This window comes from Homo sapiens, chromosome 15 (genome assembly GCF_000001405.40).
Source record: "Homo sapiens chromosome 15, GRCh38.p14 Primary Assembly".
NCBI classification, from domain to species: Eukaryota; Metazoa; Chordata; class Mammalia; order Primates; family Hominidae; genus Homo; species Homo sapiens.
The window spans coordinates 48,466,611-48,482,113 of NC_000015.10; the positions used below are offsets into that span (position 1 = coordinate 48,466,611).

At 38.3% G+C, this 15,503-nt stretch overlaps 1 protein-coding gene across 2 annotated transcripts in view, besides 1 other annotated feature; it reads right to left on the reverse strand.

Annotated features, from left to right (window-relative positions):
* The window catches only part of FBN1 (fibrillin 1), a 237,397-nt gene that overhangs the window by 58,298 nt on the left and 163,596 nt on the right, over positions 1 to 15,503 (reverse strand). For both annotated transcript variants that reach the window (NM_000138.5, NM_001406716.1), the window contains 7 exons: positions 15,045 to 15,170; positions 7,918 to 8,040; positions 7,645 to 7,767; positions 5,941 to 6,066; positions 4,024 to 4,146; positions 1,802 to 1,924; positions 1,328 to 1,492 (listed from right to left, as the gene is read on the reverse strand). In NM_000138.5, coding sequence (NP_000129.3) covers positions 1,328 to 1,492; positions 1,802 to 1,924; positions 4,024 to 4,146; positions 5,941 to 6,066; positions 7,645 to 7,767; positions 7,918 to 8,040; positions 15,045 to 15,170 — 909 coding nt within the window. The remainder of the gene's footprint in view (positions 1 to 1,327; positions 1,493 to 1,801; positions 1,925 to 4,023; positions 4,147 to 5,940; positions 6,067 to 7,644; positions 7,768 to 7,917; positions 8,041 to 15,044; positions 15,171 to 15,503) is intronic.
* Positions 5,759 to 6,958: an enhancer, noted in NCBI's record as "CDK7 strongly-dependent group 2 enhancer chr15:48764566-48765765 (GRCh37/hg19 assembly coordinates)". NCBI's record gives its function as "activates an origin of replication core promoter dependent on BRD2, BRD4, P300/CBP, MED14 and CDK7 cofactors, with strong dependence on CDK7, by STARR-seq in HCT116 cells {active_cell/tissue: HCT116}" and the evidence as "EXISTENCE:reporter gene assay evidence [ECO:0000049][PMID:35650434]".

Below are 15,503 nucleotides of genomic sequence, written 5' to 3' on the forward strand. Positions count from 1 at the left end.
GCTAATCCCTGTCCTGGCTCCCTGAAATTATATGTACACATGCCTATATGTATATATTCCAGTTCTAACTCTGGTCCAGATCTGGTGTGGTGTGGATATCTATTGTTTTGCTACTGTCATTAATCTACAAAGCTGACTCCCCAAATTAAGTGTCTTAGTTTGCCCCCTTCGACACCAATGAAATGAAAAGTCCTCCTCTTTTACTTGTTCTCCTCTTTCTGCAATCATCCATACTTTTTGAATTTCTTCTTTCATGTCACAACCTTCTTGAAGGCTCAATTAAAAAACACACTAAGTCCCCACCCTCTCCCAAGCAGAACTGACCTCCCTTTCTGAAGAGAAGAGAGAAGGAGGAGCCAGCTGAGCACTCACCCCTGTGCTGGGTGCTCTGCATGAGTGATTTCATTTAATCCTATGAGGTATTTTATGAATGCTAAGGAACTTGCCCAAGGTTACATGGGTGACAACTAGTGGAGTCCTAATGTGCACCAGGTGTGCTCTTTGTACCAACACAGCACTGTGCCTGCTCTTTCTTCTCTTTCTGAGGCCTATTTTGAATTATAGCGCTTATGTTTAGGTCATAATTTGCCTACTATGCTGTATTCTCCTGAAGGGCAGGATCTAGTCTAATTCATCTTTGCACATCCAGAGTACACATTCTAGGTACTCAACAAATATTTTTAGAAGAATTGAATAAATGACCCTTCAGCAAAAAAAGAATCCATACCTATCCCAACATACGCTATAAGCAGTAGCCACTGAATTTTGCCAAAGAAGCTACATCTAATTCTGAATCATAATACAGGACTCACTTGGAAAAACGAAAACCCTTTTATATTTTTAGGAGACATAGTTTGTATGTCCTTACAATCATATGCTAAAGCCTTCTTTCAAGCCACCCCATAACAATGGAATAATCTTCCATTTTATAGTTGCTTAACTAATTGCTTCTCTTCAAACCCCGGGACACTGAGTCTGGCGTACAGCCTTCCAAACTAGTCAATAGATGAGAAGAGGAGAGATAATCAATGTGTCCCTGGAACGTAAGCAACATGGTGAAAGTACCCTAGTCTGGAAAATCTTTAAAGTAATGCTATCTGCTTTTCACTTACACAGAAGTGAGATGTTACCTGCCCTACCTGATCTTTTAGTGTGAGCCAACCAGGAATATTTTCTGACTCTCGAATTGGGAATAAGGTCCCCTCTACAGGGCTGAGAGGACTGATCTTTCTTCTCTGATCTAAGAGTAGAAAAGGTTTGTCTTCTGATCTAGAAAGGAGAACTGGCTGGAGTTGAAATAATAATAAATAGGAGGATGTCCACTTACATGTGTTCACAGCAGGACACATCTCACAAGGAGTACCCCAGGCTTTACCCAGAGAACAGCAGCAGGAAGCTTTGGAAACACCAACTCCAATTTCATTGCTGCAGGCTGTATCTCCATTGTCTCCTCGAGGTCGAATATCCAAATAGCAATTTCCAGAGCGGGTATCTATTTACCATATACAAACACAAAAGCATCAGGCAGAATCTTTCTACTGGGGTTGAAAATTCAAACCCACTTCAGGAACTGTTCAAAAACCGTAATTTACTTTTACTGAGAAACTAAAAAGTGCCCATGAACATTATACACTACCGAGAATTTTCCCTATGGAAAAGATATCTGAATCTAAAGTAGAGTTAGGAAATGTTTAAATTTCTGTATCATTCATTTTGCAAACTTTGAGAATGGAATGTTTGGTGCTGTTTTCAAAATAATACACAGTATGCTTGCTTCTCTGAAAAGTTTTTAAGGTCTTACCAACACAGCCAACTCGAGTTGGGTTCAGTTCAAAATCAGGTGGGCAGTCACAGATATAGCTGCCTGGAGTGTTGACACAGTTCCCACTGATGCACGTGGTTGGATCCAGGCATTCATTCACATCTAAAACCGAACAGTGAGTAGTGGAGTTATCACCTGAGCCAGTGTAGGCAGACATCACCATAAAAGAACAGGGCCCAATCTAGAGCTCCAAACAAGAATTTTAAAGCTACTAGTTATAACTACATCTAGAAATGCAGTCTTCCACTTCAGAGATAAAACACCTCAGGAAGGAAATATGATATAGTCTTTGGTGGTCTTTCCCCAGAACACATTTACCATTCAAATTTGTCATCAGGATAAAATATAACTTTGGGCCGGGCACGGTGGCTCACGCCTGTAATCCCAGCACTTTGGGAGGCCGAGGCAGGCAGATCACGAGGTCAGGAGATCGAGACCATCCTGGCTAACACAGTGAAACCTCATCTCTACTAAAAATACAAAAAATTAGCCAGGCGTGGTGGTGGGTGCCTGTAGTCCCAGCTACTCGGGAGGCTGAGGCAGGAGAATGGCATGAACCTGGGAGGCGGAGCTTGCAGTGAGCCAAGATGGTACCACTGTACTCCAGCCTGGGCGACAGAGCGAGACTCCGTCTCAAAAAAAAAAAAATATATATATATATAAAATATAATATATATTACATATATATATAAAATATAATATATATTACATATATATATATAACTTTGGCACTAGGAAAAATATTCCAGTCAAGGTAACTGAAGGCAAAACACTGTTGTGACCTCGGTCAACCAAAAATTCAGACACAGGTTTTAAGAAAATATATTGAGTATATGTGGCTTGTTATTTCATCAAATTAGAGCAAGATGTCCCAGGAAACCCTCAGAAGGGCAACTCTTGCTGCTTCCCCTGACACACACGCGTGAGGCTTAGTGTGTTCCCTGAGGTCGGCAAGGAGTGTCTCTCCCATCATCCATGCTGAGTTGAATATTTCCCTTTCAGTTTCTATTCCAAAAATATGTACAGAATTCCAGATATTTAGGACATGGGTTTTGGCAAATTCCACTCTGTACAATTCCTTTTGTCTGTTTTGAACACTCATGAAATACTCAAGAATAGACAAACGGCTTCTGTGAGGAGGGACTGGAGAAGAGGGACAACACCTTTGCCTTGGTCCTCCCCTTGGATCTGGCAACCCTCCTGCGGGTTGCGCTGCAGATGATTTTTTTGTTCAAATTGCATGTGAATTTGGACGGACAGGGCCAGAGTAACAGAAACGAGATTAGACAGAATGATGTTGATAGTGATCTGGGGCACGCAGGACAGGGTACAGGCCATGGAGAGGGGGACTTCCTGAGGCATGCAAGAGACCCAGCCTGGTCTCGTAATAGCTTTAAGGAAAACCAAGGGAAGAATGTGTGGCTGGAGAGGAATACTCCATCCAGAGCATTTGCAGGGTGGTGGTGGTGGTCATGATCTGGAGAGCCCCTGAGTCATGGTTTGTTTAGGTGGTTGAAAAGACCAGATTTTTTCCGGAAATTTGAACTCATACAGAACATAAGTTGTTTCTTCAGTATCCTTGAACAGAGGGGTGAATTAGGAAGGGGAAATGCAAATGGCTTTCAAAGTCTTAGTGCCAAAGAGAACCGAGTGTCAGTCTGCTGGGTGCCTGTAGTTTTTCTAAGCTTTTTCTAATGTTCCCTGAGAGTCCTTGGCTCAACAAGAAAATGATTTATACACTAGAGATAGGTGGCTGAGCTCTGTGTACCCAGTACTCTGGTGACCACGAGCAGGGCAGGGGTAGGAAGGAGTGGGGTGGGTATTGCAACAACGAAGTACAAGGAGAAAACCCATGATCCCGGGGCATGGCCTCCAAAACGAAACTCTCCAAAAATGTACCCAAGTAGAAAAGGAAATGGCTGGGAAGCTACACCACTAGAGCACCCCTAGAACATTCCTTTGTAGCCACAAACTCAATTTCAAGGCTACAAACTGTGCTCCTTCAATTGTCTTAGACTCTTTCCTCTGGATCCTCACCTCCAATCAGTTCCAGGTCTGAGAAAAGGTATCTGTGATTCTTAATACTTCCCCCTTGCTTTTCTTGTCTTCTGTGACGGCCCTTGTGTAGTCCCAGGGAGGCTCCAATAGCTGGGTCCCCCGGGACACCAGGGAGCTGATTTTGATGCCAGTGGAGGTCTTACCTGTGCAGTTCCCGCCGCTTCTGTCCAGTTCGTAGCCTATCTCACACTCACAGCGGAACAGGCCAGGGAGGTTGTGGCAAGTTCCAAAGACACAGATGTTCGGAAGGGAGCACTCATCAATATCTTGGGGGGAGGGAGAAAAAAGCAAAAAACTTAACTTATATTTTTCTAAAAAAAACCTGCCAAATATAATTAGGCAACTAATGTAAATACTAAGAAAATGCAGAGTATCTAACACCAATCTGGGCACTTCTCCTATAGACTTTTAGATGATTTGCCATGCACAGTGAAGTCTCGTAGGTGAGAGGTTACTTTTCCTCAGTCTCTATTACATGCCAAGCAGCGGGCTGAGCATTTTATAGATACATATCTCATTTGTAGTGTTCCACGTAGGTCCACATCACTTTCGTAAAGTAAGAGGCAAGCAAGCCACCTTACGCTAAATTCGTTTTTTTTTTTTAATCTATCTATGTAGTCACTGTTTTTGTTGTGAATTAAAATTTCACAAGCCACAATGTCTTTCAGGGAACTGTCATAATTAGTTGCATAATCTCCAGTGTCCCTAGTCCTATGGCATGTGTTTGCCTTTGTTGACGGAGATTGGAAAACCGCACACGCTTCTTCCAGGCCTCTGTCTCTGCCTCCTGTTAACATTCTTCGTGTGCAGTTGACACACAGTCACATTTTCAGGCTTGAGACTAGCTTTAAATAGCCATGACCACTCCACCAGCCATGATTTATATTAAGAACAAACAAACAAACAAAACCTTCTCTTATAGCAATAAGAGAAGCAAAACTTTCACTGTGACTATTTGTGTCACCAGAGGTGGCACAGTACCTGTTTTCCTTGGATATTTGGAGTAACAAAAGTAAACAAGGTATTAGGCACATGATCAAGAGCATAATCTGGTTTCTTGACTCCAAGGAGTTTTATATCAAACTCTGCATATTTAATATAAACTGTATAAAGAACACCCAACGGTTCCATAACAAAGAAAAGTATTCACATAAAAATACATGAGGGAATTAGTATACATGTCATAGCTAATGACTGATTTTGAGTTCACGTCTTGTTAACAAGGAACAACTATTAACTAATACATTAATCAGGGTCTTGTTTAAACTTCTACTGACAATCGTTATCATTTGTTTATTTCTACTGAAATCTTCTTTTCAATGAAGGAGAATGTGCTTAAATTTGACAAATGTGGGTAAAGGGAAGAATCTTGTGTTCCCTAATGGGATCCAGCCTTAGCTAACAGGTTCCCAGGACTCTTCGTGTCTGACCAACACTTATCAGAATGACAGAGCCTAAAGCTGAGCGATACCATGCCATATGGCAGTATCCCAAGGGTCCCCTATTGAACAGATTTGCAAAACTGTTCCATGTTCATATATGTTAGATATTTAGAGCAAATGTGAGACATACCATTCTACGTATGGACAAGACTATTTGCTCTGCTTTTATTTCTACAAACCAAATACAGTGGAGATTAAAACCTGTGTTTCCATATTTAGTGATAATCCCACAACAGGACATTATCAGGGAACTTGCACTTTCAGCTCTTTTCTCCCTCAGTAGGGATTAACAGGTTGCATCCCCCTCCGTAGGGATAAATGGGTTGCACTGATTTAACCACACTTGGTTACCCTCATTGACCAATGGATACACCCTTGCAGACCATGCGGCCAAGGCTGGATGTACAGCTTGTGGCCAGTCAGCTGAGGTTTTCTGTGCAGCAAGAGAAATGGTCAGCTGGAAACCTAATCCCTCTACAAACTGAACTGACCAGCTTAGAAATGAAGCTAAAACACACCTCAGTTTAAAAAAAAAAAAAAAAAAAAGCATCAGGAATGTTTAAATAACCTAATCTCATCAAGCCCAGCAAGGCTCCCAGTGGCTTCCCCATCAGTTACCTTCACAGGCTTTCCCGTCAGCACTGGGCACGAAGCCCATGTCGCATTCACAGCGGTATCCTCCTGGTGCATTGAGGCACTGGCCATTGCCACAGAGATTCAGGTTCTCAGAGCACTCATCAAGGTCTACAGCCAGAAAGAAACACACGTTACTCTTCCTCGGTTAGGGGCTTTCTAATTCCTCAGGTCTATCAACTTTCCAGTGCAGCAATGTTTTGGCATAACTTCAATTTGACACATTTAAAGTCATTTATTTTTCTCTTTGGTAGGCTAACACTGAATATGAAATTTACATGTGGCTGATTCAGAATCCTGAATGATAATTTACCCTGAATGATATAAAATGAATAAGCCGAAGGAATCATGCAAACTAAGGCCTGTTCAAGAAGGGTCATCCGCATGGAGGGCACACCCATGACAGGAAATGACACATCATGTTTGTGTCTATTTCTCAAGTTTCAGGCTTAGCTTAGATGGGCACCAAAAGTGCAAAAGAATGGCAACCATAGGGAGAAGAAAAATTCCATCTGCTTAATCTCTACCTAGTTTTCTTAATAATCACAGGCATTTAAATATCAAACACATAAACCACACATGCCTAATACATGGAATTTGAATATGTTCTCAAAATGATGGGAGGTTTTTGATGACAAAACATCAATAAGTTAGGCAAAAATGATTTCATCTGAGATAAAACTTTCAGGGAATAAAAAAAAATTCCAGGTAAATCACTTAATGAGCCTTAGCCTCTATTGTGCTTAAATGACTTTTTATGAACAAAGTGCTCAGGATAAATCAATGTTTTAAGTTATAGGAGCAGCTATGCGACCTAATGGCTAATGGATCTTATTATTTTATTTAACTCCAGAGCTCTGATATAAAAAGTGCTGTCTGTAAATATATGCACATGTAAGTATATGTATAATTTATGTAATGACAAGTCTAATCATGTATGTTTACATGTGTATAGAAGTTTATGTTAATTCTATGGCTATTAATTAGAGCCAAAAAGAAAATTTCATTAATATATTATTGCAAAACTGGAAGTGAATGAATTCCATAGCAGGTTTGAAATTTTTACTTATACCAATATGGAATGTTGATGATGACGATAATGATGATGATGATGGCCTGTTGGAGAGAAATACATACTGTTCTTCTAATCTAGAACATCTAATCCCTTCTCCTTACATAGTTCCCTACAGCAAGCTTATCCTTGTGTTGGTACAGAAAGGAAGTCATTGGTGAGAAATAGGCAAAAAAAAAATAATAATAAATAAAGGCTAGGCATATAAAAGGAAGTATGATTTGTTTAAACTAATGACATCATTATATACAGTCATATAATGATATATATGCCAATTGTAACTATTATAAGGCCTAGCTGACTTGAGGTGGAGAATGGTATGACTTTTTTGGTATCATTTTATGTTAGAGCACAGATCACTGTAAATGATGTGATAATGGCACCTAAATATCTATCTATCTATCTATCTACCTACGTATCTACCTATCGAGAAGCTTTTGAGGTCTCCCTAATTGACCTGGTTCCAATTTTTTTTTTCCCACAGAGCTCTAGTGCCAAATGATGAATCTTTTCTATTAACTGACCCAGTCTTCAAAAAAGAATTGCTAGCCTGAGAAATGTGGAATGCCTGGCTTCTCTGACTAGTGTTGACACAGTTGTTTCCAGCGTGAACATACCTGTACAAGTGAAGCCATCACCTGTGTATCCTTCCTTGCACAGACAGCGGTAAGATCCCATGGTATTCTTGCAGTCTGCATGCTGGCTGCACATATGGGTTCCATTGGAACATTCGTCCAGATCTTATAGAAAAAGGTTATATCATTATTAACAGAAAGGGTGGTATTTAAAACCAATAATACACAAATTAAAATAACTTTACATAATTAATATTTTCATATGTGTAATCTATGCAGTCCTTGATAAGCAACCTCTGTTACTTTCCTACTCACCAGTGCACTTAATGCCATCTCCAATCCACCCGGGACTGCAGCTACATTTGAAGCTTCCTGCTGTATTGGTACATACAGCATGTTTGCCACAGTTGTGTGCTCCAATTTCACATTCATTGATGTCTGGAAAAATGAGCAGTGATTTAGAAAAAGGCTCAGCACAAATGTCTTTTGGTTTTTAAAATAAGTAATATTCAAAAGTTGACTTGCCTTCAAACTTCCCATGGTATAGTATAGACTGGTTTTGCATCCATATATAAACTCTACATATATCAAACAGCTTTAAATTTCAAATTATAAAGATATAACAATATGATTGTACTAGCTATTGTTAACTCTAATTATTTTCCGTATTTTAATGTAAGTTTCCAGTCACTGCAAAGTGACTTTTTACAGCTGAAGACCATAAAAAATGAGTTGCTTAATTTTCTATGGTTTTAATACTCCTTGTCACATATTTTCTTTTGCTAGTATTTTTAGTAAGTCAACTATGGAGTAATGATGCACATTATTTTCATATCTTGTATAGACAAAAAATACAAACTTGTTGGCAAATTAGAAAATTTTTGCATTATATTCTATATATAAAATATATTTTATTCTTAAACTTAAAACACTTATTTAATTATGCTTTATTTCTACAAAAGCTTTCCTTTAGGTATTGCTAATTTAAGCATTTGCAGAAAATGTTCCTTAAGACAGTATATAAGCCATCTTTTCCCTAGCTTCTTAGAGTCCTAGCACATTGGAGAGCCAAGCCTTCTTGTATATTTCATGTAAAACTCAAGTTAATCCAATGGGGATTTTGTCAGAATATAAGGAATACCAGATTAGGGTCACATTACTAAAAGACTCCAAATTTTCCAAAATGCTCTATTCTCCAAAATTCTATTGTCAACTTTAGCCAAGATAGACTCTCTAACATAAATATGTTACAGAAAAGAACATAAAGTACTAAGTGAAAATTTTCCAAAACGAGCCCATTCTATAATGGGTTACCCTCATAATCAACTTTGTCATTAACTAAGAACAAGAACTCATAAATATGGTACTCTATATGGAAACCAACATCTAACACCAATCTTAGGTCAAGAAGAACAATTTTGCCATACAAAACACTGCAAGAATTTCCAGTGAACACTTGAATAGTGGCATGAAAAAGAAACTGGGCAAGTAATTCATGTTTGCCTTTTTGTTTACTTATGAAGCCCAATTAAATGATTTGAAAGTGTTTGCAAACATGCTATCTGCCAAGTGTTCCATCTGAAGCTCTGAAATGGTCCTGGGATCTTTGGCTTCTTCATAACTTCTAGAGCAAACACAAAATGAAATAAGAACAGATTGCTCCTACAAAAGAACTTTATAATATCACTAATGATCATAAAAATGAAGCAGCATGCCTGGAAGAATGTCCTTTCAGTCATGACACATTGTATAGGTGGATTTTAGTGTAACCTTGGCAGCCACATGGACCTATCAAGTTATTACTGCAGGTCAAGAGAGACACATAGCTTTAGACTGTGACTGGGAGCTTTAACCAGCTAAATAATTGAGCATGGCACATTCCAAGGAAATGAGGAGGAAGGCCAATTCAGGGATAACAGTGCTAAGTAGGCACAGGAATTCAAGAATGTATGTCTTTCCATACCTGACCTAACAGATCCCGCAGAACTAGCACAAATACTCCCAAGCAGGGCTGTCGAAACTTCTTTCTGCCTCAGGTAATTGCTCCCCTCAGAGGTAATGCAACAAATCACCATTTTTGTGGAGTTTTGCCTAAATTTCTCTCCTATATTTGTCATGATCTCTGACAAATAATCTTATGTGGACACAAAAAGCTTCAATTGCATAAGTATCAAAGCCTCCAGATGTTATAGAATCAAGGAATTTTCTAAGTGGAAAGAACTCGTAATTCCATTCTCCCAATCTCAGTTTCTCAGAAGAAGACAAAGAAGTTGGGCCCTACAAGTCAGTGAGGGGCAGAGCCAGGACCTCCTGAAACTCAGTTTCCCCATCTGGTGATTGGCACTCCTTCCCTTGGGCCACAGCTGCCTAGCTGAGCTTCTTTCTTTCTTTTCTTTTCTTTTTTTTTTTTTTTTTTTGATGGAGTTTTGCTCTTGTCGCCCAGGCTGGAGTGCAATGGTGCGATCTCGGTTCACAGCAACCTCCGCCACCTGGGTTCAAGCAATTCTCCTGCCTCAGCCTCCCTAGTAGCTGGGATTACAGGTGCCTGCCACCACGCCTGGCTTTTTTTTTTTTTTTTTTTTTTTTTTGTATTTTTAGTAGGGATGGGGTATCACCATGTTGGTGAGGCTGGTCCTGAACTCCTAACCTCAGGTGATCCACCCGCCTTGGCCTCCCAAAGTGTTGGGATTAAGGCGTGAACCACTGCGCCCAGCTGAGCGCATTTCTTTAGTCATATCAGGATTTTATTCTAAGCCTTGCTTTATGGAGTTACCAAAATATTGGTGAATATTAACTGACTTATAGAAATACTCACTAATATCTTCTACTAAGCATAATTTTCAGAGATGACCACAACCTATTAATCTAGTAATTCTGTAATCTTTTTCTTTCCAGTTTTCTAATGACCAGAGGTACTCTTATTTTATGAGTATTATCATTTTCATATGGCTTTTACCTTCCATGTTTAATCTTGCAATTAAGAAAATTATCATTTCTTTTTAATGGAAAGTCTCCTTTAAAAATCATCAGTAATATGCTAATAGAAATTTACAACTTTAGAAAGTGTTTTCAGTTTTATGGCAATGTTTTCAAGGTGAAAAGAAACTATATTTACAACAGGCTGTGTATCATGGGCTTTTGGGTAATAGGAGAGAGTAACTCAGGAGCCAATATTCAATTCTCCATTTTGTGACTATTTGTATAAGTTATTATCTCAATGTTTTACACTCTCAGTATGTAACAATTGGAGAGACTTCAAGTGGTCATAAAGTATAAAAGCATCTCCAAATAAAAGGTTTTTGCATGTGGGTGTGTGTGCATGCATGCACCAACTATCATTCATTAATTGTTTCTGTGGCAGACTTGGACTGTAATTCATCATAAAAGCAAACAGAAGGGGAAAGTGAGCCATAAGGAAAACAAGCAAACAAAAATGCTGTATTGAAACACTCTTCAATAACATGAAGGAAACATAGTACATGTTTGCCAAGAATATCTCTTTCTGTAAAAATGTTCTCTTTCCTGCACAAGTTCGCTGCAAACAGAAAATTCCTGTTTAAGATTAAGAATAGCATAAGCCAAGAAAAGCAAAGAAATTCAAACTTAAAGTGACACCGCAACCTTCTTAACCCCACCAAACCTTTGTCACAAAGACTCAAAGGTCCTCTTGCATGGCTCTCTTGAAGGGCAAGGGTGTGGTGTGAGCAGACCCTGCTCACAGGCTCTGGGTATGTCCCATGCAAGTATGTCATCCAAGTATGGGCTTGTGCCCGGGGCTGCTGTGGCCTCCTCTTACAGTCACGCAGGGAGAGGCTGTATCACCCACACAAACACCTGCCTTCTCTGCCATCTGGGCATCTGTCTCCTGGATCCTAACCTGGCAGAGCTGTGCACTGCAGAAACTCCTTGATTAGGCATTGAGGAAGAGGGCGTTACCATGAATGGAGAGGCCAAACGTGAAGGCTACTTGGATTTCTTAATTTGGATCCAAATTTGAGCCAACACTATTAACTGAACACCCATGGAGTTTTCACAGGCCGACAGCCAGTGAAGGAAAATTAGCAGTGATAAGAAACTGGAAGGAAATGAACACAAATTCTCACTGACTGTTGGTGGTTGAAATATATGATTCTCTCCTATGAACCAAGATCCACCAGAGACATTTCTCTTATGAAAGAAACCAGCTAGTTTCCAATATGGAATTACCCAGAAATCCCGCTATTTTAACTGAAAACAAGTCTGATTTAATTCCACTTAATGGTATGCTTGCTTTATTCATTAACTAAGTAAGCACATGATGGGAGGTAGGGTCTTAAAATTAGCTTGTGAAAGCCAGGACCACCCATCAAAGATGACACCTAGCAGGGCCTTAATTATGTAGAACAAGCAGCAGAAGCCTTACATTGGGTCATAGAAAAATTGTAATCCAGCCCACTTAAGCCAAGGATAGAAGAGCTGTGTTCTGCGTTTCAAGCAAATGTGTTCTCTCTCCATTAAATGGAACATTCCCCCTTGGCAATACCCAGGGTCTGAACAAAGCTTACGGAGTAAAAAGAAACCCTTAGCATCTGTGTGGGCTGGGAATGTAAGTCAGTGGGTGGATTCTGAACATTGCTAAAGTGATTGGGGGAAAAAACATGTTTATTTGTTAAAATGGAAATACTCAGTAATGACAGGGAGCTGAAATATTTAGACAAAACTGTAATGGAGCCCAGAGGTCTTTTTCTTAGTTCTCATGAAGCAAAATTTCTCCTTATAAAATAGCATACATATTTTCATAATTCTTTTCATTAAACAATAATCTATCTAAATAAATAAATAGATAAATAAGTAGACATATTCCTTTTGTCTGCTTGCTTATCCAATTAGGCAAGATACCTATCTCTACTTACATTAGTTGCCTGGAACATTATTAGCAAAGCCATCACCAAGGTAACCTGACGGTGTTCTAAGTTGTGAATGACACGAATTTTAAACTAAAAGCAGCTAAAAGAGCCTTAGTGACATGGCATTCAAAAAACATTTTGCCCCAGATTTTTAAAAACACGTTTTCAAGTATACCAAACTTACTGTTTGGTTAAGCCATTTCCAATCAAATGTGATGCCCTTCCACAGGTCAGGGCTGTTACTTACCCAAGGAGAACATTTGAGTAACTGCAGAGCACCCTGGTGATTTGTTCAAGATCATGAATGAGTGGATTTACTAAGAACACAATTCAGGGTACTACTCCTTCAGATGAGAATATCACATGCCATGTTACTCTGGTATCAAAGGGGCATAAAACTCAAGTCTTCCTACAGTGCTAGCTGGATTTTAGCAAATTGGAAAATCATTTTAGGCTGTAATTTTCAAAACTGGAGGAAGAGCTCAAGTGTTTCTTTGACTTCAAATCTATGAAAAAGATTTGAAGAGGATCAAATGTTTCTTTGACTTCAAATCTATGTTCATGTGATTGACTCAAAGGCTGCTGTTCTTAACGTAAAGCTGGTGTCACTTCATGCAACTGTAGTGCACAGCTCTGTTACCATGGTCTTAGTATCTGTGCAAATTCAACTACGAAAAACAAGCCTTTCAATATAAAGAGTAAGATTTTCCTTCTTTAAACTGAGTTCAAGCATGAATCAGTAAACAGTAGCATAAAATTTTTGCTAGACTGTTAAATTCTCAAATGAAACAACAAAACAATGGACAATAGATATAGACTAGAAGCAATGGCTTTCACTAAAATGGCCTCTAGACACTGTGTCTATGTTTCATTTGACAATAGCTTTTATTTATTGACCAGCACTGCGCCAACAGCATTGTATACATTATATGTCATTTACCTAAAACTACATTAAATAACATGAAAATTTAAGCTTTCTTCAGGGTAAGGCCTAAAATAATCAGCCACTGCACATGACCCAGTTAGCTAGAATTTGGAGCATTGAATTCTAGAGACCTCTTTCTTATGGGGAATGAAGGTTGTTCCATGAGATTAACTTCTTTCATAAGCATCACTGCCTCTGGGTTGAATTTCAATGTGCTCAGCTTAACAAAACAGTAGTATTATCCTCTATTAGTTAAAACATAATACAGAACTATCTTACCTTTCTTTTCACTACTGCCAGACCATCATCCCTTACCAAGTCCTATATTTATACTGGAAGCTAAAAATAAAGCTTGAACCATAGACATACAAAGCTAGGCACCATTTGTACCGAGAGGCCGTATAGGAGTTGAGAGTTTAAACACTGTGCCATTTATCAGAATGGACCCCTAGACAGGCTTCATGTAAGGAGTAGCATAGTGAAAATGAAAACATTCCAGCTTCATGCTTCTTCTCATAATTTGGCTAGCATCTGTTATTTTTGAACCAACAATAATATTATTGCCCTTATCCTACATATCAATAAATTTGAAATAGCATTATTGGCCAGTTTGAAACAATAATAAATATATTTTGGTGTTTTCTTGAAATATGTTGATATAATTAAGAGGAGGATCTGCACATTTGCCCCACTGCCAATCTGCAAATATTTTAATATTTGTTTTAAGTCATAAGAGCTTGCCAAACTGGTTTTTGGAATTAAAGACTGTTATTTATTAAGAAATTATTCAGTTACCTAATTCAAGCTCACCATGGTTTCCATTATGTTTTAAATTATGTTATATGCCATAATCTGTCAAATTAATATAAGTAACTAGAGTAAAACTTTATTATATCATTCCATGGACTTAATGTCATTGCCTCATATTTGAAAATACCAACTAAACACTTATAAACTAAACACAATGTCATTAGCACAGAGTAACTTCTTCCATTTGGCATTTAATAGGATAGTCTCCTACAAATATTGTGAAAACATTTTCTCATGTGCTATTGGTAACAGACAACATTGCAAATGGTTTCATTATCACTTCATAAGATTTGCTAAGTCCCATGAATAAAGACTTCCTTGGACTAATATGACTTAATACATCAAAAGTACTCCTATTTAAGGCACTGGAAGACTAGTGAGAATTGATGAAATATATGAATTGTAGGATGTTTTCCTTTAAAGAGCAATTCCAGTTATAAACCTTAAATGAAGTGTTGGCAAAGGAGGTTATTGGAAAAGGCTTGCTTCGGTGAAGGGCCATGAATATTTGGTAATTAGCATGTTCACTAATTTGATATGAAAATGTGATTTTTAACCTCATAAAAATGTGCTATTTACAGTGTTAATTTATTCAATACACCTTTTTCCCCCCACAGGTCAAGAAAAAAACCTGCAACTTGGATCCAATATAAACGATGACAAATTTCAAAGAAGTGGAAGCTAAATTAATGAAAAATGTTATGCAAAATGTTTTATAATATAGTTAAAATGTATGAGTTTTAAAACATGTATCAATCTATAATTATGATACCAATCTCTTAACTACTTAATATTTTATTGTTCTACTTGAACAAACACACCTGTACAGCCAGTTTTTCCTTTTTTGCCGGAGTAGCCCATATCACAGTGGCAGATAAATGAGCCTTTCGTGTTTTCACAGGTCCCACTTAGGCAGATATTTGGATTCAGGTCACACTCATTGACATCTGTAAAACATATATACTATTAATATATGTAGCTATTTGATATCATTGAGTACTTTCCCCTCGAGACATAATAACTATGACAAATACATTAGAAAAGGTAAAATGCTTTCCCTCAGAAAAACAATGTTAAATTTTAGAGGCCAATTTACATTTGCTCTTCATTCTTTACATTGCAAGCTCATTATTCAGACTGGCTTTCATCTGGCCCATAAGCAGCAGGCCAGTTAATCAAATAAACAGATGGGCTCCATGCTGAGTTTAGAGCTCGTTTATGTGACAGTCTAGAAAACTTTTTAGAACAGCATACTCTATTGCAGGATGAAAAGTTTAATT